General features: G+C 41.6%; 1 protein-coding gene across 27 annotated transcripts in view; it reads right to left on the reverse strand.

Annotated features, from left to right (window-relative positions):
- The window catches only part of KMT5B (lysine methyltransferase 5B), a 58,786-nt gene that overhangs the window by 5,130 nt on the left and 28,447 nt on the right, over positions 1–25,209 (reverse strand). For 6 of the 27 annotated variants that reach the window (XM_011545092.4, XM_005274035.5, NM_001369429.1 and 3 more), the window contains 7 exons: positions 20,140–20,208; positions 15,026–15,191; positions 13,812–13,921; positions 11,551–11,717; positions 11,240–11,259; positions 11,023–11,159; positions 6,990–7,186 (listed from right to left, as the gene is read on the reverse strand). In XM_011545092.4, coding sequence (XP_011543394.1) covers positions 6,990–7,186; positions 11,023–11,159; positions 11,240–11,259; positions 11,551–11,717; positions 13,812–13,921; positions 15,026–15,191; positions 20,140–20,208 — 866 coding nt within the window. Of the gene's footprint in view, positions 1–5,724; positions 7,187–11,022; positions 11,160–11,239; positions 11,305–11,550; positions 11,718–13,811; positions 13,922–15,025; positions 15,192–19,477; positions 20,209–25,209 lie in introns of those variants that run through there. The other 21 variants (XM_047427072.1, XM_005274036.5, XM_006718581.2 and 18 more) reach the window with 17 other exon arrangements.

Here is a 25,209-nt window from a genome sequence, read left to right on the forward strand (position 1 = left end):
ACCCTAATGGTAATGACAACCTGAGTAGTGATGAATATGATTCCATTTGAGAATGAGCGTATTCTTATCCACTGGAATTATACAGAACTACTAGGTAGAAAATATTTTTTAAAATATAAGGATATTTAGATAATTCTTTTGCTACAGAATTTCTTTATGCTTACGAGGCTTGCCTACAAGGTGGATCGAATAGACGTGCTGTCAATATAAAGAATAAAGTTGAATGGCTTCTCAAAAGGCTTCATTTGTGACTCAAGCTTAAGCTGCTCCTGTAGTGTCTCTGACCTTGCCACTGACTTTCTGCTATGTTAATTTTTCCTCTGTATTGACATTCCAGACTATTATTTATAGAAGTTGTTACACAAGTCAGTTTCTCAATTACTTAGTTCTTGCAGGTCCAGTTGAAAAACTTCTTCCTAATCAAAACACTCCATTTACAGATTCACTAGAGAAGCCACGATAACAAAACGAATCATCACCACCTCTCATCAGAACAGGGAGGATAAAAACAATAAAACATGGGTAAGCTCAGCACACTGCCCAACCAAGTGAGGACCAGGATCCTGCAGAGAAATCTGTCGCTTTCTACATGCCTCAGGTTGCCAGGGCAACTGCCATTCCTTCCGCCCAGCTAAGCAAGTAAGTTACCATAAGTTCAGTTTTTATTGAGAGAGGAGCAAGAATGCATCACAACATTCCAAAAATATCAAACCACCAAGAATAGAAGGCTCTGCACCTGAGGTCAGGAGTTCGAGACCAACCTGGCCAATATGGTGAAACCCTGTCTCTACTAAAAATACAAAAATTAGTCGGGCACGGTGGTACGTGCCTGTAATCCCAGCTACTGGGGAGGCTGAGGCAGGAGAATCACTTGAACCTGGGAGGCAGAGTTTGCAGTGAGCCAAAATCGCACGATTGTACTCCAGCCTGGGTGACAAGAGTGAAACTTCCTCTCAGAAAAACAAAAACAAAGAAGGTCCTGCACGCACAGACTGGCTCATAAATGGCTTCAGGGTACATAAACCAGCAGAATTCACAGCAAAGGGATTCACAGTTTGAAACAAGAACATACTTACACATGTGGGCTGCTACCAAGGTGGCGCCTCTTTTTAGAATAGTAGGAGTAGTGAACTTTGAATGTGATTCAATTTGAGAACGAGTGATTTATTATCCACTGGAACTATACAGAACTATGTGATAGCAAATTTTTTTTTAATAAGAAATTTAGAAAATAAGAAAAAATAGGGAACTCTTCGGCTAAAGGGTTTCTTTATGCTTGCCTACAAGGTGGACTGAATGGACGTGCTGCCAATATAAAGACACTAGTGAAGAAAGGACTGCACTGCTTGGCTTCCCTTTGCTTGGCTCTCTCAGATGTGGCTACGATGATCCTTTGCTCATTCTATGCCTCCTCAAGGACTAATTTATGACCAAACTTAGTGGTTTCCAACCTTTGATTTCTCCTCTTTCCATTCCACTCTCATGACGTACCTGCAAGCACCCTTACACAACACTCACATCTATGTCATATTCTCAACAGCAATCCCCGCCATCTGGATCCAGCCTGCTCCTCCAATGAGACAGCCTTTGGTGATCTGACAACTTCTTGTCGTCAAACCCAGCACACACTCCTCAGCCCTTCCCTTTCTTCATTTCTCTGAATGTGACACTGATAACCACTTTTTCTTGAGAAAACCTTTCTTCTCTTGGCTGTCAAAGAGAGCGCACTCTCCTGGTTCCCTTCTCCATCCCTGGCACCCTCCTTCATCGGCCCCTTAGACTGTTCTTCTTCAGGTCTGTGTAGTCCTAGGCCCCAGGTGACAAGCACCCATTCTCGCACGGCTATTACCACTTACAGGCTGACAGTTCCCGAACTCTGGCCAGACCCGCTCCTAACTTACAGAACCAGGTCACCAAATACTGACTGTCTCTAAGCCCCTAAATGGAACTCACCATCAAGTCTCCTGACGACGTCCCCTTTCGAGGTCTCCATCTTGGTCAATATCACCACCACATGCCCAGCTGCCAAAGCAGAAAGCTGGAGGTCCTCCTTGACTCCTGCTCTCCTGAACTGCCTCACCAAGCCAATCACCATGTGCCGTGGAGTCCACCCCTGCAATGTCACTGCAACCTGTCTACTCTTCCCTGTCTCGAAAGCCACAGCCTCCTGCATGAACTATGGCAGTTTTGTTTTTCCTATTGTTTTCCCAACAATCCGTTTACCACCACATAGCCAGGATGACTTTCCTAGTGTATCATGCAGCTTCTGGGCTTTAAACCTTTCAGCAACCTAATGCCCTAAGAATGAAGTCTAGAATTTTAACCTGTGCTCACATCTCTTCTTCTTAGCCTGTACTCGCCATGAAGAAAAGCTTTGACTCAAACTCCCCTCTGTCTATAGAGCTGTCTGAAAGGCCCTCTGCTTTGAATAGGCTTCACTTGGCCAACTTCTCATCCCCCTGTAAGACTCAGCTTAGGCAACACCTCCCTGAGGGAGCCTCTCGGGACTTTCTCTGCAATGCCTTTCCTATGTCTTCTCACAGCACCCAAGAAGCTCCTTCCTTGGTACTTCTTATTTTCACCCGTTGGATGACTCCCATTTTATGGTGATTCTGAATTCGGCTCTCCCCATCCCATCCCTCCTTCCAAAACATTCACTGTTGACAACAGAAAACCAAAGCACTTTTATGTGTTTGTCTCTAAACTAACATAAACGCTCCATTTTTGAGCACAAAATGGGTATGTATTTGATGCTATGTATTACATCAACACAGAGATTTCACTTACATGTTACCAATGTATTCTAATTTTGTTTGAAAAGCATTATCTCATCAAAAGCCCTGTCAAAAGGTATGCTCATCAAATCAAAGGAAAAAAAAGACAGGCAAAGAATTTGAGAAATGTGACAAAGATGAGGACCCAGTAGAGTGACAAGAGTCCTTCACTGTCCAAAGAAGCTGCACTGTCCTGGCAGGGGTTGAGAATTTCAGACAGTGAAGGCTAAAGGAGGAAGACAGTGGCCACAATGACAAACTAAAAGTCAATGATTTTAAAGTCCATCAAGAAACCAAGGACTATGACCTAAGTGGGGTCAGATGCACCTGTGTTTGAGCTTGCTGTGGCACTTATATGCCTCGTATGACTCTTCCCCTAGGGGCTGGGACAAATCTCAAATACATGGACCTGGACTGTAATTTTAGGTGGGGGTACACATTCTTCTCAGCAATTACTACATGCTAGGTGCTGTGCAAAATGGCCACATTCATCCTAATGAACGCCGTTGGAAGGGAAAGCGATTAAAGCTATGTGAAAACCAAGCTTACACGAACTAGCATGCCTAAGGTCATCCAGCTGGTGAATGGCAGAGATGGGACTTGTTAGGCCTTCCTGAGCATTAAAATCACGCTTATGCTGCCTATAAGGCATATACAGAAGAATTATGGTGTTGGCCTCAACTTACGGGTAAAGGCCCCACTGCATGGCTATTATGGTCATTTCAGGGTGTCCTCAAAATCATAAGGCAGGGTGGCACAAGACTTCCAGTCAGACAAAAGAGCTGTGACCGACACCAAAGCCTTCCTGAGCACTCAGGCCGCACTGGAAATGCACAATCAGCGTGAACTAAGATAATACAAGGGCCACAGCTGAGCATCTCCAGAGCTGGAGGATCCAGAAGGCCTCTGACAGGACTTTAAAGACCTCGGTCTCAAGGAGTTTACTTGGCACAAGCAGCTTTCATCTGACATGACTAGCACAGACTGCCAATGGCTACCTGGAACGGGGTGTTAGAATTTGGAAGCAGCCCGAAGGCTCAGCAGAAAAGTGTTCAGATCAACTCTTGACATGAGTGACAGGGCAGGAGTGAGGAGCAGCGCCCCAGCCTCTGCATCTAGGACAGGTGCTCCATAGTTAAGATCAACTTCTCCCTCTGGCCGATTCTTCTGGGGCTTGTCCTGACTTGTGGCACCTGCAGAGACCCGTGTCCGCATCTTCACAGACCGCTCGCGAGCCTCTCTCTGGTCTCACCTTCCCTATCACAGCACTAACTTCAGAGGGGGCAGCCCAGTCAGCGAGGCATAAGAGGCCTGAAAAACCAGAATCCTCCAGTCCTGGCATTCTAATTCAGACCTGTGGACTGGATTTGTGAAAACGGATTCCTTGTTGTCTCTACTTCTGGATGCTAAAGCAAAGTCACACCATAGCTCTCAAGGTACTTTCCGAAAAAGCACCTGTATGGAAATTTTTCTTCCAACTACTCAGAACATTTTTTTATACATGTGTTCAAAGAAAGCAGTTCCTCTGTCAGCTGCTAAATTCTAAACGAACCACATGATAAAGATGAGCAGCCACACAGAAAAAGCACTCCGCAAACACATACACAGCACATGCACCCACCACCCTGGGAGGAGGGACTGGCAGTGCTGGCTTTCCTGCAGGATGTGGCTTCCAGAACCTTTCTTTCAGACAGGTGGAGGGGATGGCTGAGACAAACACCAAAAGAAATACAGCCTAAGAGAACGCATGTAAGAACTCAAGAAATCCTTATGTGAACATGACTTAACATACAATGGTCTCAGAGACAACTAAAGCCTTGAGCTCCTTCAGAGAGAGCACTGAGCCATGCCTATCCACTCTGCCCATGACCTCAGAGTTAGTCATACTGATCCTTGGATTGCTCCAATCATGCTGCAGAAAGGGAATTTGAATAAGCCAAGCACCCCAATATCAGCAGTCCCTGCAAAATGTACACCTTTCTTCTGTAATGCTGAGACTTCAGCTTAAAGCGATTATTCAGTCCCTCTGAACTTGAAAGCCTGTGCCTCCAGTTTGTTCTGCTTACTTGTGCACCTGTCTTATCCTGGAGCTAAGTAAGGCATAAGCTCCCTGAGGAAAGGGCCCAAGTCTCAAACATCTTTGTATGTCTTCAAGAACTAGCAGGATTTCAGTAAGTATTTAGTTTGTTAATATATATTCCCAAATATTTGGTTTAATAAATATTAATAGTTAAATATTAGTACACCCAACATCTTCCAAAAATTATTTGTATTCTTATCTTTTAAACTAAGTAGTATATTGAGTTCAGTAGCTATACACCAGTAATAAAGTTACTACTTAAGCATAAAACACCTACATCACATAGCCATTCAACATAGGCAACTCTGTGGCTGTCTCCATATACAGATGGCAGCACGAACCTAAGTGTTTTTGTTTAAAAATCACAGGTCTCTGGCCGGGTGCAGTGGCTCACACCTATAATCCCAGCACTTTGGGAGGCCAAGGCAAGGCGGATCACCTGAGGTCAGGAGATTGAGACCATCCTGGACAACATGGTGAAACCCCGTCTCTACTAAAAATACAAAAATTAGCTGGATGCGGTGGCACGTGCCTGTAATCCCAGCTACTTGGGAGGCTGAGGCAGGAGAATCGCTTGAACTTGGGAGGCAGAGGCTGCAGTGAGCTGAGAGTGTGCCACTGCACTCCAGCCTGGGGACAGAGCGAGACTCCGTCTCAAAAGAAAAAAAAAAAAAGACACAGGTCTTACTATGTTGCCCAGGCAGGTCTCAAAACTCCTAGGCTCAAGTGACCCTCCCACCTCAGCCTCCCATGTAGCTGGGGCTACAGGTGTGCCACCATGCCTGGCTTTTAAGTGTTTTTATGTCTGCATTTATAAAATGGGCTTCACAAGTCTCCAGTTTCACCAAGGAACCAGACTCAGAAAACAAATGGTCGTTATGCTGCATTTATTATGAGAATCAACAGTCAACAGTTAATGATTGACTAACTCTTGTTGTTCACTCTGGACATTAACGAAAAAGACTGGAATAGGGCTACAGCGCTGCTTTTATGCTACACGGGTTATGCTTGGACTCTGACTCCCAGCAGCAGGTAGATTCAGGAATTCATGGCAGTGACATTCACCATCATGGGAAACACCTTCCCTTTTCTTCAGGATTCTCTGTAGTGGAAGAGAGCACCCAGTGTTGGGCTGAAAACATCTGAAAGTAGGGAGAAGAACCTAAAATAATCAGTATCTCAGAGGGCTCTAAGGTGCCAAGAAGTCTCACTGGACATTTAAGTGCCAACAAAGGCATACTTTCGGAATCGCCAAGTCAAAACTTTCTAACTTCTGTCTCTCTCAGAGACAAGTGAGACTCAAGAGTCTACTGCTTTAGTGGCAACTACAGAAAACTGGTGTTACCCAGAAAAACAGGAGCAATTAGAAATGGTTCCAATATTTCAAAGCTCCGCAAACAGGATGTGCTTTCCTTTGCCCATTTAGGGTTTCTTCTCTTTCCTTTCTCTTTGTTTAGTCTTCGTTCTCTTTTTCAGTTTCCATCAGATCTTGCCCCCACACACCACTGGAATCTCAGAGGTTGCTTCTTTCTCCTTTCCATCTTTACTCCTACTTTCTGGAGTAGCCAATACAGCATGTCACAATACGGCACTGTTCAAAATGCTCCTCTATCACAATTCTGAGTCTGGTACTGGTGGTCTGCTGAACTGAGTCAGTTCGTTTTGAAAAAGGTCAGCAAGCAATGAAAAGGTGGAAGCCTTAAGGCCAGAAGCTATGAATTCCCCAAGTCCATCATCTTTTCTAACAAACTGGCTAGGCACTGGAATGTATAGAGTCTAATTTAATTCTACTCAGTCCTTTTGTCTTCTTGCAGGACTTAGCGACATCATCACAGTCTCTAACACCTTGAAAATGTTTAAAACATATGATGACCTTGGAACATATGATGAAGAACTCATATCCAGTTACCAAGGTATTCAAGAAAAATAGTCTAGAGGACGGTACTGAAGTTAGAGATGGGATACAGACTGTGCCTCTACTCAAATCACGTCTAGAGCCTTGAAGTGCAGCCAAAGCTCACAAGTCCCAGTCTCTCTGAGTATTTAAAAGTTTAAAACTACTGAAGCACACTTTATAAAGCAAATTGTGTGAAAATACTTTTAAAAGATATGCTTATCAAATCTCCCTTACTTACTTGCATTGTTTTTTTCCTGAGTGGTATCTGCATCAGTGTTAGAGCTGACAGATTGACTGTCTGAATTTTTGCTGCTGTCACCTAACTTTTTAAGCCTATTTAAACGTTTATCTGTTTCTCTGAGTCCATATTTGCTATTGATAACAGGAGCAGGCGCAGGCAGTCCCACTCTGGATTTAAAAGCACCAGTGCCCCGTCTGAAAGAGAAAATAGCACAGGTTAAACAAATAGAACACACTTTCTTATAATAAGCTTAACTGCTGAGGGTACTTGGCTACAGGTTAACAGATGTGATGAGCTGCTGAGGCCTTAATCACCACTGGAAACCGAAGACTAGAACTCACAAAGGAAATTAAGTATCTATATTATAAAATTAACTTTAAATCTATATTTAAAATAATAAAACAACTTGTTATGACTATTATCAATCATTAATTGCCTATGAGAAACTACTGGACCTTGTAAAATTTTTTCCTTTTTTTTTTTTTTTTGAGACAGGGTCTCACTCTACCGCCCAGGCTGGAATGCAGTGGCACGATCATGGCTCACTGCAGCCTCAACCTCTTAGGCTCAAGAAGTCGTCCCACCTCAGCATCCTGAGTATCTGGGACCATAAGCGTGTAGCACCACCACCAGCTAATTTTTAAATTTTTTTTTGTAGAGATGGGGTCTCACTATGTTGCCCAGGCTGGTCTCCAACTGCTGGGCTCAAGGGATCTTCCCAGCTGGGTCTCCCAAAGTGCTGGATTTACAGGCGTGAGCCACAAAGTCCAGCCCTTTAATAAACATTGCCAGATTACTTTGCCAAAGGGATAGAGCAAATCATGGTCCCACTAGCATGGTGTGAGTTCCTGCTTCTCCACATCCTCATCAACGGTACATTGTACTCCTTAAATTTTACCAAAGTGGGCCAGGCATGGTGGCTCACACCTGTAATCCCAGCACGTTGGGAGGCTGAGGTGGGCAGATCACGAGGTCAAGAGATAAAGAGACCATCCTGGTGAACATGGTGAAACCCTGTCTCTACTAAAAATACAAAAAAAAATTAGCCCGGCGTGATGGCAGGCGCCTGTAGTCCCAGCTACTCGGGAGGCTGAGGCAGAAGAATTGCGTGAACCTGGAAGGTGAAGGTTGCAGTGAGTTGAGATCGAAACTTACACAGAGCAAGACTCCGTCTAAAAAAATTTTACTTTTTGCCAAAGTGATGAGTGAAAATGAATACCTAATCTTGTTTTAATCTCATTTATGGCCATTTTTTTCCTGTGAAGCATCTCTGCATCTCTTTTTCCTTTACCTTTTTTCCTATTTGACTATGTCTTTTCCCTATAAGCTTATAGGAGCTTTTTGTTATTAGAATTTTTTTTTTTTTTTTGAGACACAGTCTTGCTGTGTCACCCAAGCTGGAGTGCAGTGGTGCGATCTTGGCTCACTGCAACCCCTGCCTCCTGGGTGCAAGCGATTCTCCTGCTTCAGCCTCCTGAGTAGCTGGAATTATAGGCGCGCACCACCACATCTGGCTAATTTTTGTATTTTTAGTAGAGACGGGGTTTTGCCATGTTGGCCAGGCTGGTCTCGAACTCCTGACCTCAGGTGATCCACCTGCCTCAGCCTCCCAAAGTGCTGGGATTATAGGCGTGAGTCACACGTGCGTGGCCTTTGCTTTAAATTTTCTAGAGTAAAATGTGCAGTACTTATGAACATATTACAATTACTACTGTCAGTACAGTGTAGCAGAGAAACATGCTTCAAATGTATCCTGGAGTGTCTAGCGCGACTCAGTGTCTCTGCACACGTGATTCCGTCCATTCTCACTTCTTCACGGAGCCTCTTCCTTTTACCCTCTGGCTCTCAGCACAGTGTGTGTGTCCCCTTCACTGAACTGCCCTGACAGCTGGCACTGTGCTGGTCTTGTTTATCCTGCATGCACTTGGCCTAACATTAAGTAACTGTTCAGTTAATATGTAATGAATAATGGAATGAGCTCCTAGATGCATCTTCCCAGCTAATTTCTGTAAAGGCAGAAACAATTTGGTGTTTATGAGAACTTCAAGAATATATGCAGCCAATCTTGAAATCAAACTGCTCAAACAGTCTGACAATAGCCATGGCCACTATTCTCCATCATGCTGTTCCATTTAAAAAGGACTTACACACGTTTCTATCTACTTCTCACACTAACCTTGTGGAGTAGGTGGGATTATCCTCATTTTCACCAGTGAGAAAACAGAGGCTCATGAAAGAGAACTAATCTGCTCAAGGAAAATGACTATACCTGCAGTTCTAAACCAGGGAAAGAGCTGTTTCGGTGTTGGTTTGGAATCCTCAGTATGTGGTTAGGTGTTTTCAGGACCGCCTCCAAAAACTTCATTATATATATTTACTCTATTCATTCATTTACCAAATATTTATCAAGGACTTACTATGCACCAGGGTACTGTTCTGTATTCTGGGGATATAGCGGAAAATGAAACAGATACAAGCCCCTGCCTTCATGGAGCTCATATTCTAATGGGAAAATAACCAGAAACCAATTATTGTAGTTAACATTTGTGTATTAACTGTGTGCTATTCTACATGCTTTACAGGAAATAACAAATTTAGCCTTCACATCAACCCTACAAAATAGGTTCTGATGTTATCCCCATTTTACAGATGGGGAAATTAAGGCACAAAGCAGCTAAGTGACTTACCCTACACATCACATAGCTAATGAAATGCAGAGTTGCAGGATTCCAACCCAGGCAGTCTGATTTCAGATGATAGGCACTTAACTGTTATACTGTTTCCTCTACAAAATGATTTTGAAGAATTATTGAACTATAATTAAACTACTTTAAAGGGTATTCTCTGGACTGGTCCAAGATCTAACCAACATGTGAATAATTTTTATGTAGAAAAAGATAAATTTTATGTCCCTCTGCCCTGGTAAAAATTCAGCAGCACTAGGAACTGGTTTTCTGCCACATCTTTATGGCAAGGAGCCCACTCAGTGCTGGGAGAGGGATGGCTACGGTAGCACTGTGACTTGATGACTCCGTCCTCTCTCACCACACAGTTGGAAATCCCTGGCTATCCAGAAAGGAGGGAAATGGCAACTGGGGTATCTGCCCACTGCAACCTCTAGGCTGGCTATTTGTAGGTGTTTTAAAGTGGGAGAAGTGACACTAATAACTCTGATCATAACTCCAAAAGCAATATGAAGTGGAAAGAATGAGGACTCTGAAGTTAGGCTGACTGGGGTCTGATACTTATGTTCTGGTACTCGCAATGTGGGCACCTCCTAGCTCTCTCATGAATATCTGTGAGAACTGAACAAGGTGGTGTGAGTAAAGTGCCTGGCACAGTGCAAGATGTGCAAAATGGACTCCAGGTTTCCTTCTCTGTGGCCTGTGTGGTCTGTACTGCCTTTGAGGGGACTCTTCCTGCAGCCCTTGCCTGCCTGAGCCTGTGACGCTCCCTTCATGGTGCTCTCACACACAGAAGTCACTATAATGAGCAATATGAACTGGTGGTCCTGCCAATGAAGATCTGGGGGATTTCTGTAAAGACTCCAGGACTCTTGATGAGACATAAGAAGAGGTTCCTTATTGAATGACTGATATCAGGGAACAACTCTTAAGAACTGTGAAACCAAAATTCCAGAAGACACAGCTTGATAATATGCAAGACGACTATCAGTGGTGAACTCCACTTGACATTTTGAGTAGCGGCAACCCCATTCTGGCATTGCGTGTGTGCATGTGTGTGAGCTATTAACCATTCTCTCCTTAAGCACATCTGTATTCTGGCCCACTCTTAGCTGGTAATATTAAGATTTTAAAGGGAAATTTTAAATTTATTGAGGGACATTCCAATGTCCCTAAATAGCTGTGCAGCATTTGACTTTGTTCATACACACTGCACCAGCCGCTATGCTAAAGAACATAAAGACTATCTCTGCATTTAAACAACAAAGAGATAATGTGAGTTTAATCCCCATAATCAGGTTGTTAACAAAAAATGTTTAGGCTGAACATTTTACTTAATACCTTACCTTTCGCAAGTGTAACACTCGCAGAACTCATTATTTTCTCCAAAGAACCCATCTCCATAATAACAAGAAATTTCTTCTCCAGGTTCAATGTCTCTTAGAGCCTTCACACATGCTGTATCTCGACCAGTTGACACAAACTAAAATAAAAGTAACTCAGTAAGAAACTCACACCTGAAGCAAAAACAAAATACTTGAAGAAAATTTTTTTAATGCTTACCTTACAATTAGGTCTGCAATCTGAAAAATGTCCAAAAGATAAAGTCAATTAACTGTTGATAAGATCTGAAACACGAACAATTATAGAAATCTGAAATAAGCTTTCCATATAACTTTACAACTTTTGATAGGAGTTTAGGTCTCAAGTTCAACTAAAGGAATATACATTTATTTTAATAAGTTTGTGGAAACATTTCTATTTCAAATTCTCCTTTAAAGGAAGATAAAGGTTTGACTGAGGTTGACAAGGCCATTCTAGCAGTTAGCAGGAATGGCCAACACTAGCGCCAACACCTTGGAAACACAGCTTACCATGGTTTATAAACGCAGCAGGACCCAGCCAGAGTTGAGCACAGTTTTTCCTTGTGGAGTACATGACACTGAAGTCGTTTTCTCCATGTCTAAGTAGCATGTTCTCCTCAATTTCTGAAAGTTCGGCAATACAACCCACCAGTAATTCTATTTTGTCATTTCGTTTCCTATTTAAAATATGTGATGTGTTAAAAATTACTAGTAATTAAATATAGTAAGGCTTCTTTTAATAAAATAATCCTGACAATAAATATCAGAAACTGAAAAGGCCTAGCTGTCTATACTTTAGTTAGCTCACTGGGATCCCCACCTGGCTATCTTCTCTCCTACCCTGGAGCTCCACAGCCTTGTGCCATGGTTACTTGTGTACCTATCTTATTCCTGCAAGAGAATGGAAACTCAACCAGGACAGGGACTATGCCACCTATGTCTCTGAATGCCCTGGTGTGGTGTTTTGCAAGCAGAAAGTACTCAAATACTTGCGGCAATGAATTAAACTTTCTGACTGCTGGATGAAGCAGGCAGGGACCAGTGGCAGTAAGGGTTATGAGGATCCGGAATCATGGTGCCACTCTTTAGAGCACACCATCTGCTAGGAATATAATGCAAGCCAAATTTTCAATCTTAAATTTTTTAGCAGCCACATTGAGAAAGTTAAGTGAATATAGGTGAAATTACTTTAACAATTTATTTTATTTTATTTTATTTGAGACGGAATCTCGCTCTGTTGCCCAGGCTGGAGTGCAGTGGCGTGATCTCAGCTCACTGCAACCTCTGCCTCCTGAGTTCAAGTGATTCTCCTGCCTCAGCCTAAGTAGCTGGGACTACAGGTGTGTGCCACCACACCTAGCTCATTTTTTTTTTTTGTATTTTTACTAGAGATGGAGTTTCACCGTGTTGGCCAGGATGGTCTCGATTTCTTGACGTCATGATCCGCCCACCTCAGCCTCCCAAAGTGCTGGGATTACAGATGAGCCACCATGCCCAGCCAACAATATATTTTAACCCAATATCCAAAATACGATTTCAGTAGGTAATATAAGAACTATGAATGGGAATAAAATTTAATATGAAATCTGGTGTGTATAGCACACTTACAGCGCTTCTCAATTCAGACTAGCTACATTTCAAGGACTCAAGGGCTGGTGGCTACTGTACCGGACGGTACAGCTCTAGGACTCTAGATCTCAAACCTACACACCCATCTGCAACACAGGGAGCCACATAATCCAACTAGCAGGCTCAATACATCCTGAGGTAAATGAAGCACATTTCATGTACACACACTCACCCCAGAGGCCTGGCAATAAAGTTCTTTTACCTATCCATTTTCAGATATCTGACCCCCCAAATTTTTGTGGTAGAAATATCAGAGGGTGGGTACATGAGGAGCTACATGTTTTTCCTGGGAGATAACATAGGGAACAGGCATGATAGGAAAGAAGATACAGTAGTATATTCTCTTTCATCTGTAACTTTTATCCCTTTTAGCTGGGCTCAACTCTGACTTAATTTTGAGATAGAGTCTCACTCTATTGCCCAGGCTGGAGTGCAGTGGCGCGATCTCAGCTCACTATAGCCTCTGTCTCCTGGGTTCAAGTGATTCTCCTGCCTCAGCCACCCGAGTAGCTAGGACTACAGGTGTGTGCTACCACGCCCAGCTAATTTTTGTATTTTTAGTAGAGATGGGGTTTCACCATGTTGGCCAGGCTGGTCTTGAACTCCTGACCTCAAGTGATCTGCCTGCCTCGGCCTCCCAAAGTGCTGGGATTATAGGCGTGAGCCAATGCCCCCCACCAACTCTACTATTTTTATTGAAGCTGGCATATATACATATATATATATCTGTATGTATGTATTTTTAAGCAACTAATGCTTTAGGGAGGTTTCCACCCATAAAACTAGGATCATTAAAACTTTAGCCCCAACCTTTCTTCTAGGCCAGTAGAAGACTGACTGTGGAAGCCAGGTTATCTAATCACGGTATCCACAACTCTTCAGCAATCATATCACTGAACAGGCATCCAGAGTCAATAAAGGAAAATGAAAAGCAATTTGGCCTAGAGATGGGATCTGGTTCAACTGAGACTTCCGATTTCCCCACTCTGACTCCAGCTGATGGGCCAAGGCAACGGCGATGCATTGGCTACTTCAGGGTAAACTCTGGCTTCATTCCTTACCATGAATTTCTCAGCACTTCAACAATAATTTAGAAGAGAACTTTAAATTAAATTAAAGGCTTATACTAGTAGAATAGTTACCACTCTTTTGTTGCAACTATTTTGGCTCCATTTTGTTCTGATGAGTATCTATTACATGGCAATATTTCAAATCCACTGTCAGTTGCAAACATTCGCAAATAAATAAATACCTAAAACAGGAAAAAAAAATTGATAATGACTTTAAATGGTATACCCTGCTAGACTTTCTTACAATTATAAAAGCAAACCACCCGCAATGATGAAAAAAATGTAAGATCTAGCCTGAGCAACATAGCGAGACCCTGTCTCTACGAAAAACATTAGCCAAGCATGATGGCATGTACCTTTAGTGCCAGCTACGTGGGAGGCTGAGAGGAAGAATCACTTGAGCCCAAGAGATGGAAGCTGCAGTGAGCCATAATCAGGCCACTGCACTCCAGCCTGGGTGACAGAGCAAGATTCTGCCTCTAAAAAAACAATAAAATAAACAAAAAAAGTAAGATCATTAGGTAACAAACTTTATTGTTACTCAAGAGTTTTGAATGTCACAATTTTTCTCATTTTGCAATATTTGCATTACAGTAACTAGCTGAACACCTCTAAACAAAAAATTCAAAATCCTCCCATGAGCATTTCCTTTGAGTGTCAGGTCGGTGTTCAAAAAGTTTCAGATTTTGGAGCATTTCAAATTTTGGGGTTAAGGGTACTCACTCTGTATGAGTACCTAATGGCTTGTTTCCCTTAAGGCTCATAATGAATTTCACCTCTATATGACAAAGTTTTCTCTCCTTTTTTGGTTTTAGAGACAGGGTCTTGCTCTGTCTCCCAGGGCTGGAGCGCAGTGGCATGATCATAGCTCAGAGCAGCCTCTAACTCTTGGGCACAAGCAATGCTTCTGGCTCTGCTTCCTGAGTAGCCGGAACTACAAACTACAAAGGTACACACTACTATGCCTAGCTAATTTTTTTATTCTTATTTTTTTAGAGATGGAGTCTTGCTATGTTGCCCAGGCTGGTCTCGAAGTCCTGGCCTCAAGCAATACTCCCATCTTAGCCCCCACAAAGTGCTGGGATTACAAGCATGAGCCACTGAGCCTGGCCCAGTTTTTTCTCTGGACTGTCATCCAAATGACTGTATGTGTTACAAGATCTTCAGACTGATTAGTTTTATGAAAAATAAATTTAAAATTTCAGTATTAACTAACATTTAGGGTTTTAATTTACTTCACTATTCTTATCCAAATAGGTTAACAGCATCAGTCTTAATAAACTTACATGTTCTTTGAATAATTTCTCCTGCATTTTATTCTTGTTGAGAAAATAGTGCCGTGCCCATTCGCCTGAAGTCAAACATTTGAAGGCTTTCTCCAAGTGTTCATCTTTCTTAAAACGTTCAATTACTTCCTTTAGTTCTTCCTGCCTTCCTTTAATAGGCCTAAATCTGAAAGAAATCAAAAGAATGAATGGGTTATCTGCCACAATCCTTGCGCCACTGATCCATCTTAACAGATCTTGAGAAAGAGCTAATACCCTAAAAACAGCCATGGTTATCAGAGCAAAGATCTAAGAGAAGAGAACAACAATCAATAGTCTTGATTACTACTATTCAAGTAATACTGATCACCTGGATACGCAAGTTCTCTTTTTTCAATCTGTTATTTTAATATTTTTATTTCACTGTTATCTCAGTAACTTCTCTTTTTTCAATCTGTTATTTTAATTATTTTTATTTCACTGTTATCTCATTAACTGTGAGGTGAGCAGACGATTCAAACAAAAGCTGTCTGATTCAGACTTACACTAGTCGTCAACTTTGGGAGACACAAAATCAAAGCTCTAGAATACAGCACACCTAATTTAGAGTTAGAATGACAAGAATCTTTTTAAAACATGCAAAATCAAGCTGGAAGAGTGCCAGGCAATGAATTTCAGAAGTATGATGATGTAAACAAAACCATGCCATACACAAAAACATTCTTTATGTACACAGTCAGAAAAAACCCCAAACTAAGTATTCCAACAGGCTTCGAAACACACCTTGATGTTCTAACCACCCATGTCAAAGTCATCTTTGATGACTGCATTCAGAGAACAAAACGAGTACAAGCAGTGTTAACTCTAGTGGTGAAATTGCTATACTGGTAATGTAGGAAAACTGATGGGGTAGAGTTGTTTTTTTTTTTTTTTTTTGAGATGGAGTCTCACTCTGTGGCCCAGGCTGGAGTGCAGTGGTGTGATCTTGGCTCACTGCAACCTCTGCCTCCCGGGTTCAAGTGATTCTCTTGCCTCAGCCTCCCATGTAGCTGGGATGACAGGCGTGCGCCACCATGCCCAGCTAATTTTTGTATTTTTAGTAGAGACCATGTTGGCCAGGCTGGTCTTGAACTCCTAACCTCAAGTGGTCTGCCCACCTTGGCCTCCCAAAGTGCTGGGATTATAGGTGTGAGCCACTGCGCCTGGCCTGCAGGGGTAGAATTGAAAAGGCTTCCATTGTAGAATCAGCCACACTGATGTCTTCAGAATATTATCCCATTAGGTCTGTATTTATGCATGATGCAGTCATGGCCCAAGCAAGACAAATTTGTGAACCCCTCATTCTAAAGCTGTGTTTTCAGTAAAACGTGTACTATAAAGTTACTAGCATCTTAATTTCAAATTTTCTTTTCATGTCAATTTCATAAAGCTAATTCTCCCAAATAAAGTTTTTATTTTAAAAAAAAGTTTTATTTTATTTTCATAAAGCTAATTCTAACCGGATTATGGCCCGGTATGGTGGCTCTCACCTATAATCCCAGCACTTTGGGAGGTCGAGGCGGATGGATCACGAGGTCAGGAGATCGAGACCATCCTGGCCAACCTGGTGAAACCCCGTCTCTAAAATGCAAAAAATTAGCCAGGCCCACGTAGTGGTACACGCCTGTAGTCCTAGGTACTCAGGAGGCTGAGGCAGGGGAATTGCTTGAACTCGAGAGTTGAAGTTGGAGTGAGCCAAGATCGCGTCACTGCACTTCAGCCTGGTGACAGAGCAAGACTCTGTATCAAAAAAACAAAACAAAACGTCCAACAGAAAAAAGGAATCACCGATTGCCATTCAAATAAAATACATTAAGAAAAAATATTAGTGGTTCAGGAGAAAAAAATCTTTATGTGTCTTACTCTGACATTTAAAATTGTACATTTCATAAACCTGAATATGCTAAAATTGAGGTAAGATCTAGCACAAACTCCAGCAAAGGAAGCATTCAGCAGAATTTTTTTTCCTAGAGAAGCTATCATATATGTATTCATAGTATTTCAGTAAGATTTCAAGCCACAGTATTTCATCAAGGATTATTAGGTGCTGTGTTGTGTATACAGTGGCATATGAAGTGCTATGGTGAAAAATACAAGAGAAGACATGGCCACTGTTCTTGAATGGAAAATTTAATTGGGACTAAAAGACATATATATGCATCAAACAGTTAAGCAAGTGATCAATATGCAAATGCATGTTAATATGCTAAAAACTGCATTGCTATAGCACCTAAAAGTATAGAAATTATAACTAGGGTGCAAAATGTACATGGGAAAGGTTTAAGAAAAGCACATTATAAGCAGGTAAGAATCAAAAGGAAGGAAGAATGAGGGGAAGTCTAAGCAGAAGATCTTAATCAAGCTGGATTCAAAGAGTTGACCAGGGTCAGCTAGGTAGCAATAATAAAGTAAAGTACCAGAATCAGGAAGAGGAAAGACATGAGGTCCTGAACAGGTATAATACTGTTTACTGGACAGGATCACTGGAAGACTTCAGGTGTATTAATGCATACTGATACTACCAGGAACTTACTAGCTACACACTCTAGTCATTTTTTTTTTAATTCAGTAATCCTGAATTCTCACAACTATTAGCTGAACCATCTGAAAGTTCAAACATATCCTAGAGATAATACTGAAGAAATGAACAGGGCCCTATTTTCCATTTTCAATCAATTGGTATACAAGCCTTTACAGACAGATAAATGCAAGTCCTTTAAACAATTCAGAACGTCTTACTAGTCTGTCGACATATGGTGTCAGAGAACCACCATGAAAATAAAGAGCTGTAGAATTGGGAAAGCATCCAAATATCCATACTCAACTACTTGTAGCCATCACAATTGATTGTGTCAAGATACCATCTCCAAGAAATCCAATGGAAACCATTCTTGCTGCAATCCTACACTACATGGTTATTTGCACATGAAGGACAGATAAGACAACAAAGCAGCTCTCAGCTAAGGCATGACCTGTCGAGCAATATGAAATATGAAATATGAAATGGTGGGAAACAGATAACCCGTGCTTTGTGTGGCAATCAGAAAAGCAATAGTTCACTTTAAGCAAATGCAATAAATTATCCATGCCGTTAAATGACAGGGCTACAAACGACAGAAAGGGCCAAGCTATCTTTACACGTTCAATGTGAAAGTGACCAATGGGAACATTATACAAAAGTAAGTTATAGACCTGGAATGAAACTTGGCTATTTTTAATAGGCTTTATGTGTGTTCTATGCTTTCTGAAACAAGTTCATTCCTATCTAAAAATGCCTTCAGGTAACCTTGGTTTTGTTTACTTTTTATTCATAATGCCAAACAATTTACATGCTAAAACCAACACAAAATAGTCAACTCTTGATTTAGTAGTATTCTGCCTACCTTCCCTGTGTTGACTTCTGTTTCTGCTTTCCTGACTTTATTGCCTCAAACATAAATAAAACCCCTGAAACTATCCCTTGCTACCAATAGCAAGAACCTCTATTTCACTAAAAATATAAGTTGCTGTCCCAAACCTGTTAAAACTTACTGTCACAGTTGGCTGCTATGGGCATGAAATGACAGTAAGGAAAAGGGGGAAGAAAATGGTTAAGGGTGCAGACAGGCAGGAGATGAGACAGTTGTTTTCAATAATCCTACAGAAGTATGTAAAAGTCAGCTGGCTGATAGTCCAAATCAAATCCCATTGTAACAAATACTGTGGAAAATAAAAGTTAAGACTGTTATACCTATTAGGGCTGGTGCAAATGCACTGAAAACCTTAGGGAAATTTTTTTTTTTCCTATTATTGAACAGAAAAATACCCTCTCTCCTTAACTATAATCACTCTAAATCTCCCATACAAACTGCATAAAACTATCCTTTTACTCTGACACTTAAAGGCCAGATAATTTAGAACAGCCCTTTTGTTCCACAAATGAGGAAAATAAGGCCCAACAAGGCTGAGTAGATTGCCAATGACTTAGGGTTAATGAATGGAAGACCTGGGATTTACCCTGGCCTTTCTGGTTCCTGTTATATCACCTGGCTCAGGAGAGCCTTCCTCACATTGTTTCATGGTTAGAAGAGGATTTGACTTGCGTTTGCCATTGAACATCAGCACTGGGCCCAGCCAGAGACAGCTCTAGCTTGTATACTGACAATACAGTGGAAGGGATGGACGCAAATGTGAATTTTAAAATTTCGTATTTGGGTGGGGGGGTGGGTGACAAGGGAGGCAAGAAAAACAGTTATTTGGCATTTCCAAACCAATATGCCCCGTCCTCCCTCCCTTAATAGAAAATTTGCTACTTTAAATCAACCAAACATATCTATTTTTTCTCTTTTTACACTTCCAATCAATGGCTGGTATAAGAAAAATAAAAATGTCATTTACAATTGATTATTATTAAAGGGGCAGGAAAAAAACATATGAATTCACACTCCCACACACCTGTTCCCCACTCTTTCCAGAGACTCACTTCCCAGGTTTTCTTGCTATTTGGTTTTTCTGTCTCCCCACTGTGGCAGTGAAGAAAAGTTGTAGACTGTATTAGCTGTGCTACTGTGCCCTTCATTAGCATGCACAATCAAGAGCTGACTGGAGGGGTGGGGAACAGGAAGGGGAACAGAAAAAAGGGAGACAGGGAAGGAGAGAGGAAGAGAGAAAAATGCTCAAATATTTAAGATATAAAATAAAACCATGAGGCAACATAGTGAACACATTTCCCCCTCTGAAGAAAGTTTAGCTGCAAATCCACAGTTTGTAGACGCTGAGTGAGGAGTCGCAGATCAGCTCTTCAGTCCTTCTTGACCTGAAAATAAACGAGAACCAAAAACATACCTGGCTGAGTCCTGCAATCAGTGCTCAGCTAATCACATGGAGTGACTCCTGATCTTTTGAAGAATGATTTGTTTCTCTTAAAATCACCCTGTTATGAAGTACAAGTGGTTTTTTAAAAAATACAACTATTATCAAACTACTTTAAAAGGTTTGTAAAATGTTCTAAAACTCTAATTTATGCTGACACTTCAAATTACTTAACATAAAAGAACATTTTAAAAGGCTAGAATGGGTTAGTCAGTATCTCATTGTTTTTAACACACACTACCTACCTCACAGGGTTGTTGTGAGAAAAACTGTCAGATTTTGAAAAATGCCTTGAGCTCCTCGAAGGAAAGGCGCTATATAAATGCAAAAACAAACAACAAAAATAAAAAGCTATTTGTATAATCTGTACTTGTAATTTCTAAACAGACTTACAATATTCGTTGTTGCAAAAATCTTTAAAACTCTGTGATAATCAAGAACTTTAAGATACCACAGGTGGGCGCGGCAGGATAGAAGCCATGCTGCTGAAATTCTCTGCTTCCCATAGAACACACCTTACCATGAAGTTAGAAGCTTTGAAAACATTCTTTACGGATTCTAGTCAAGCACTTAATTTTAAAATGATATTTAAAGTGATTCATATTCATATCCAATAGTGGATATGAATAATCAAATACATATAAAAGTGAAATAAAAATTAGATGGTTATAACAGTAGAAAAATGAGTAAGGACTGTACAGGCTGACATTCTGATTAGAAAACCAAGAAAAGTTGAAAAGAGAAACTCAGTGCCCTGAAGTGACTCCCCTGATGTTTAAATGCTGTCTCCTGCTCAGCTCACTGCTGGCCTGAGTCGCCTTCGCGCCTCAGGATACTGTGACATCTCAGGGTCATGCAGCCTCAAAAAGGGGGCATTACTGAAAGCATCGATCCCTTTCTTAAAATATCCCGCTCCCACTCCATTTAAAAACCAGAGGTATAAACAACAACTCTTTTTTTCTTGTTAAAAAGAAAACTTTAGGTTTCATAATTGACAAAAGTCAATTAAGTTCAAATTTCTCCCAATAAATTGAAATTAGCATTTTGTTCGTACTATTTCTAAGTATTCATGCTACAACTCTTGCTTGTTAGTAAATGTAAGGATATATTAAGATTAAAACCTGTGCACTCAAAACATAGCCAGTTTTGAAAATTCTCCAATCATTAAACATCTACTCTTTCTTTTTTCTTTTTTTTTTTTTTTTGGAGATAGAGTCTCACTCTGTTGCCCAGGCTGGAGTGCAGTGGTGTGATCTAGGCTCACTGCAACCTCTGCCTCCCAGGTTCAAGTTATTCGCCTGCCTCAAACTCTTGAGTAGCTGGGATTACGGGCACGCACCACCATGCCTGGCTAATTTTTGTATTTTTAGTAGAGACGGGGTTTCACCATGTTGGTCAGGCTGGTGTCGAACACCTGACCTCGTGATCCACCCGCCTCGGCCTCCCAAAGTGCTGGAATTACAGGCGTGAGCCATCACGCCCGGGCTAAACATCTACTGTTTCTAAACATTCTTCCTGTTGGTAGACTGAAAGAAGTAAAAGGAAGGGAAAAGAGTATAAAAAAGAGAAACTAAAAAGTGACAAATTACAGGTGCATAAACATATGAACAAAGAGCGCACTATACAAGGAACAGGCAGAGAGCTTAGAAAATTAAAATCCAAGAGCAGTACATCTTCTGGTCACTTCTTTTGCACCCCAAAGAGAGAGAAGTCCATAAACTAACAATTTAAGAAGTATTTATTGGCTATTTACTACCTTAATTAAGCATTATCAGTTTTCCTTATTTTCTAAAGTCACATTCTGGTAAATTCTTGCTCAAAAGATGAAGAGCTAGAAGGGATAGTTTTATTTTCAAGTAAATTCACTAAGGTTAATTGAAAACATATACCTTTCACCAAGATTATTGTAAAGGTCATTAATAAAGTTTCTGTTCCCAAATATCAGTGTACACAAGAGTGTAAAAGCACACGTAAACGGAACACTCTGGTGGGAAGTAGGCAGGCCGTCCCCTGCACTCCCACACCGGCCTGAAGTGCTGGCATTGCTAGGAACCCAGGCTGCTCTAACCAGGGCAACAGAATCGTCTGTACTTCCACAGGTTATTTTAGGAACTGTATAATTAAATGTTGGACTAAAAAATACTTAAAAAATGATTTCTTCTGCAAGTTTAACCAGCTTTAATTTTAGATGCTTCAATTCTATGGGGAAAAATCTTAGGCACTGGGTGCATTTTAACTTAGGAGTCCTCAGTTAATGTCTTGAGTTCCAAAAATATTTGTGTGGTAATCCTGAAGTTTACATTTATGACTACATAGTTTTACGTGAGCCCTAGGAAACTCCTAGTAAGGTATTTTTATCCACTTAGCACGTCACAATGAAACTGAGAGGCCAGATGTTTTAGGACCTAGCTATTCCAAGTGTAGTCTGGGAGCTTGTTAGAAAGGCACAATCTCAGGCCCCACCCCAAAGCTACTGAATCAGAGCCTGCATTTCAACAAACTCCCAGGTGACTCTCATGTAAACTAATTATAAGAAGCAATGGTATAGGAGGACTTTTACAGAAAACTGGAGTGCTTCCTTTTGTTTTTTAATATAGGGTTTCACTCTGTGGCCCAGGCTGGAGTGCAGTGGTATGAATACAGCTCATTGCAGCCTCGAGCTCCTGGGCTCCAGTGATCCTCCCACCTTGCCCTCCCAAAGTGCTGGGATTACAGGCATGAGCCACTGCAGCAGAAAACTGGAGTATTTACTATTGAAGATGCCAGTAACAGGCAGCCTTCTGGAATACGGCACGGGGATTTTAGAGTACATGAAGTTCTGTCATAAGCCACTAAAACTTTCATTGTAATTTTTTTTTTTTTTTTTTGAGACTGAGTTTCGCTCTTGTTGCCCAGGCTGGAGTGCAGTGGCGCAATCTCGGCTCACCACAACCTCTGCCTCCCAGGTTCAAGCGATTCTCCTGCCTCGGCCTCCTGAGTAGCTGGGAGTACAGGCATGTGCCACCACGCCTGGCTAAATTTTGTATTTTTAGTAGAGACGGGGTTTTCCATGTTGGTCAGGCTGGTCTTGAACTCCCGACCTCAGGTGATCCGCCCACCTCAGCCTCCCAAAGTGCTGGGATTACAGGCGTGAGCCACCGCACCTGGCCCATTGTAATTCTGATGTAACGCTGTTTTATATGCTTCCATATCTTGGTAATAAGGCATAATCAATATAACTTTCTTGATGACCCCAGGTCAAGATTCTGGGCCTTTGTGGTGACATTCTGAATGCCACTAGACTACTGTGTCAAAGAGTGATTCATTCACACATTCACATTTCTTAACTCAAAAAAAAAAAAAACAAAGAAAAACACTGGGGGTGCTACAGGGTGACAAATATTATCAGCATCTTCTAGGAGAATGAGCACTGGTCTCATGTTCAATGGGCAAAAAAAAAGAAAAGAAAAGAAAATGGACTTAAAATAATGCAAATTAGTTTTTTGTTTTTAGCCGGAGTCACGCTCTGTTGCCCAGGCTGGAGTGCAGTGGCGCGATCCCAGCTCACTGCAACTTCCACCTCCCAGGTTCGAGGGATTCTCCTGCCTCAGCCTTCCGAGTAGCTGGGACTACAGGCGCATGTGGCCAGGCCCAGCTAATTTTTTGTATTTTTAGTAGAGACGGGGTTTCAGCATGTTGGCCAGGCTGGTCTCGAACTCCTGAGCTCAGGTGATCCACCCACCTCGGCCTCCCAAAGTGCTGGGATTACAGGCATGAGCTACCATGCCCAGTCCTGTATCTTTTTTTTTTTTTTGAGGCAGTCTCACTTTGTTACCCAGGCTGGAGTGCAGTGATGTGATCTTGGTTCACTGCAACCTCTGTCTCCCGGGTTCACGTGATTCTCCTGCCTCAGCCTCCTGAGTAGCCAGGACTACAGGTGTGCACCACCACACCCAGCTAATTTTTGTATTTTTAGTAGAGATGGGATTTCATCATGTTGGCCAGGCTGGTCTCGAACTCCTGACCTCTGGTGATCCACCCAGCTTGGCCTCCCAAAGTGCTGAGATTACAGGCATGAGCCACTGCGCCCAGCCTGGATCTTAATCAATCAGGGCATCCAATGGCAGTCATTTGGCAGGGAACTGTTTAAATAATCCCCCAACTCCATTCCAATATTTCACACTTCATTTTAGTAGGTAAAGATATATGACAGAAAATTTTATGGTCAGACATGGTGGCTCACGTCTATAATCCCAGCACTTTGGGAGGCTGAGGCAGGTGGATCACCTGAGGTCAGGAGTTTCAAGACCAGCCTGGTCAACATGGTGAAACCTCATCTACACTAAAAATACAAAAATTAGCTGGGTGCAGTGGTGCACGCCTGTAATCCCAGCTACTTGGGAAACTGAGGCAGAAGAATCACTTGAACCCAGAAGGTGGAGGTTGCAGTGAGCTGAGATCATGCCACTGCACTCCAGTCTGGGCGACAGAGTGAGACTCCATCTAAAAAAGAAAAGAAAAAAAAATTTATGAAAAAAACAAAAGCATATTTTTACCTGAATTACTTCTTTTGGATTTAGACTGTAATTGATAAGTGAGGCATATAGTATCTTAATTCTAGCAAGGGATAAAATTAAAAGGGGGGAAACAGGACACAAGACTTTCCTCTAATTACCTGTACTCACCAATTCCTACCTCTCCCAACTACTGATCAGTGACCACCTACCTGGGTATCAAGTTCCCCCAGGGTTGCCACTAAAATCAGAACTATATAACCCCAGTCCGGGTGTGATGGAGATGAAAGTGATGGGCCAGAACTAGCTCTATCTTCTAAATCCCTGCTGTTATGCTTTTCCACCAGGCTAAAAAACCCTTTGCCATAGAGGTTAAGAGACAAAGCAAAGTTGCAAAGCTCTGACCTGTTTGGTGGCAGATACATTTGTGAAATGATCTAATGGTCTTTTTTGAGGGAGAAATGGTATTTAAGAGAATTAAAGAGAGACCTCAGCTGTTAAAAGATGACAGATTTCAAGATTAATGTAATAATGTTTTTTATATACAGCATTTGGTACTCAAAACACTTACACATCCACTTTCTTACCTGCATACTGAATATAAACATGTCTTTAAAACTATTCGCTCTTAAATAATTAGCTGAATCCCAAAGATTAAACATGATGACAAAATTCCCCATCTATACAGAGACAACGTGTAAGAGAAAAGTCTATAATAAAATCATGAAAAAAAGGGATGTACCCTACTTTAGGTTGGAAATAATCATACACTTTCAAGGTGTTACAGGATGCTTGTCAGATTTTTCTTTTCGCTAAGATAAT

This window comes from Homo sapiens, chromosome 11 (assembly GCF_000001405.40).
Source record: "Homo sapiens chromosome 11, GRCh38.p14 Primary Assembly".
In the NCBI taxonomy this organism is placed as follows: Eukaryota; Metazoa; Chordata; class Mammalia; order Primates; family Hominidae; genus Homo; species Homo sapiens.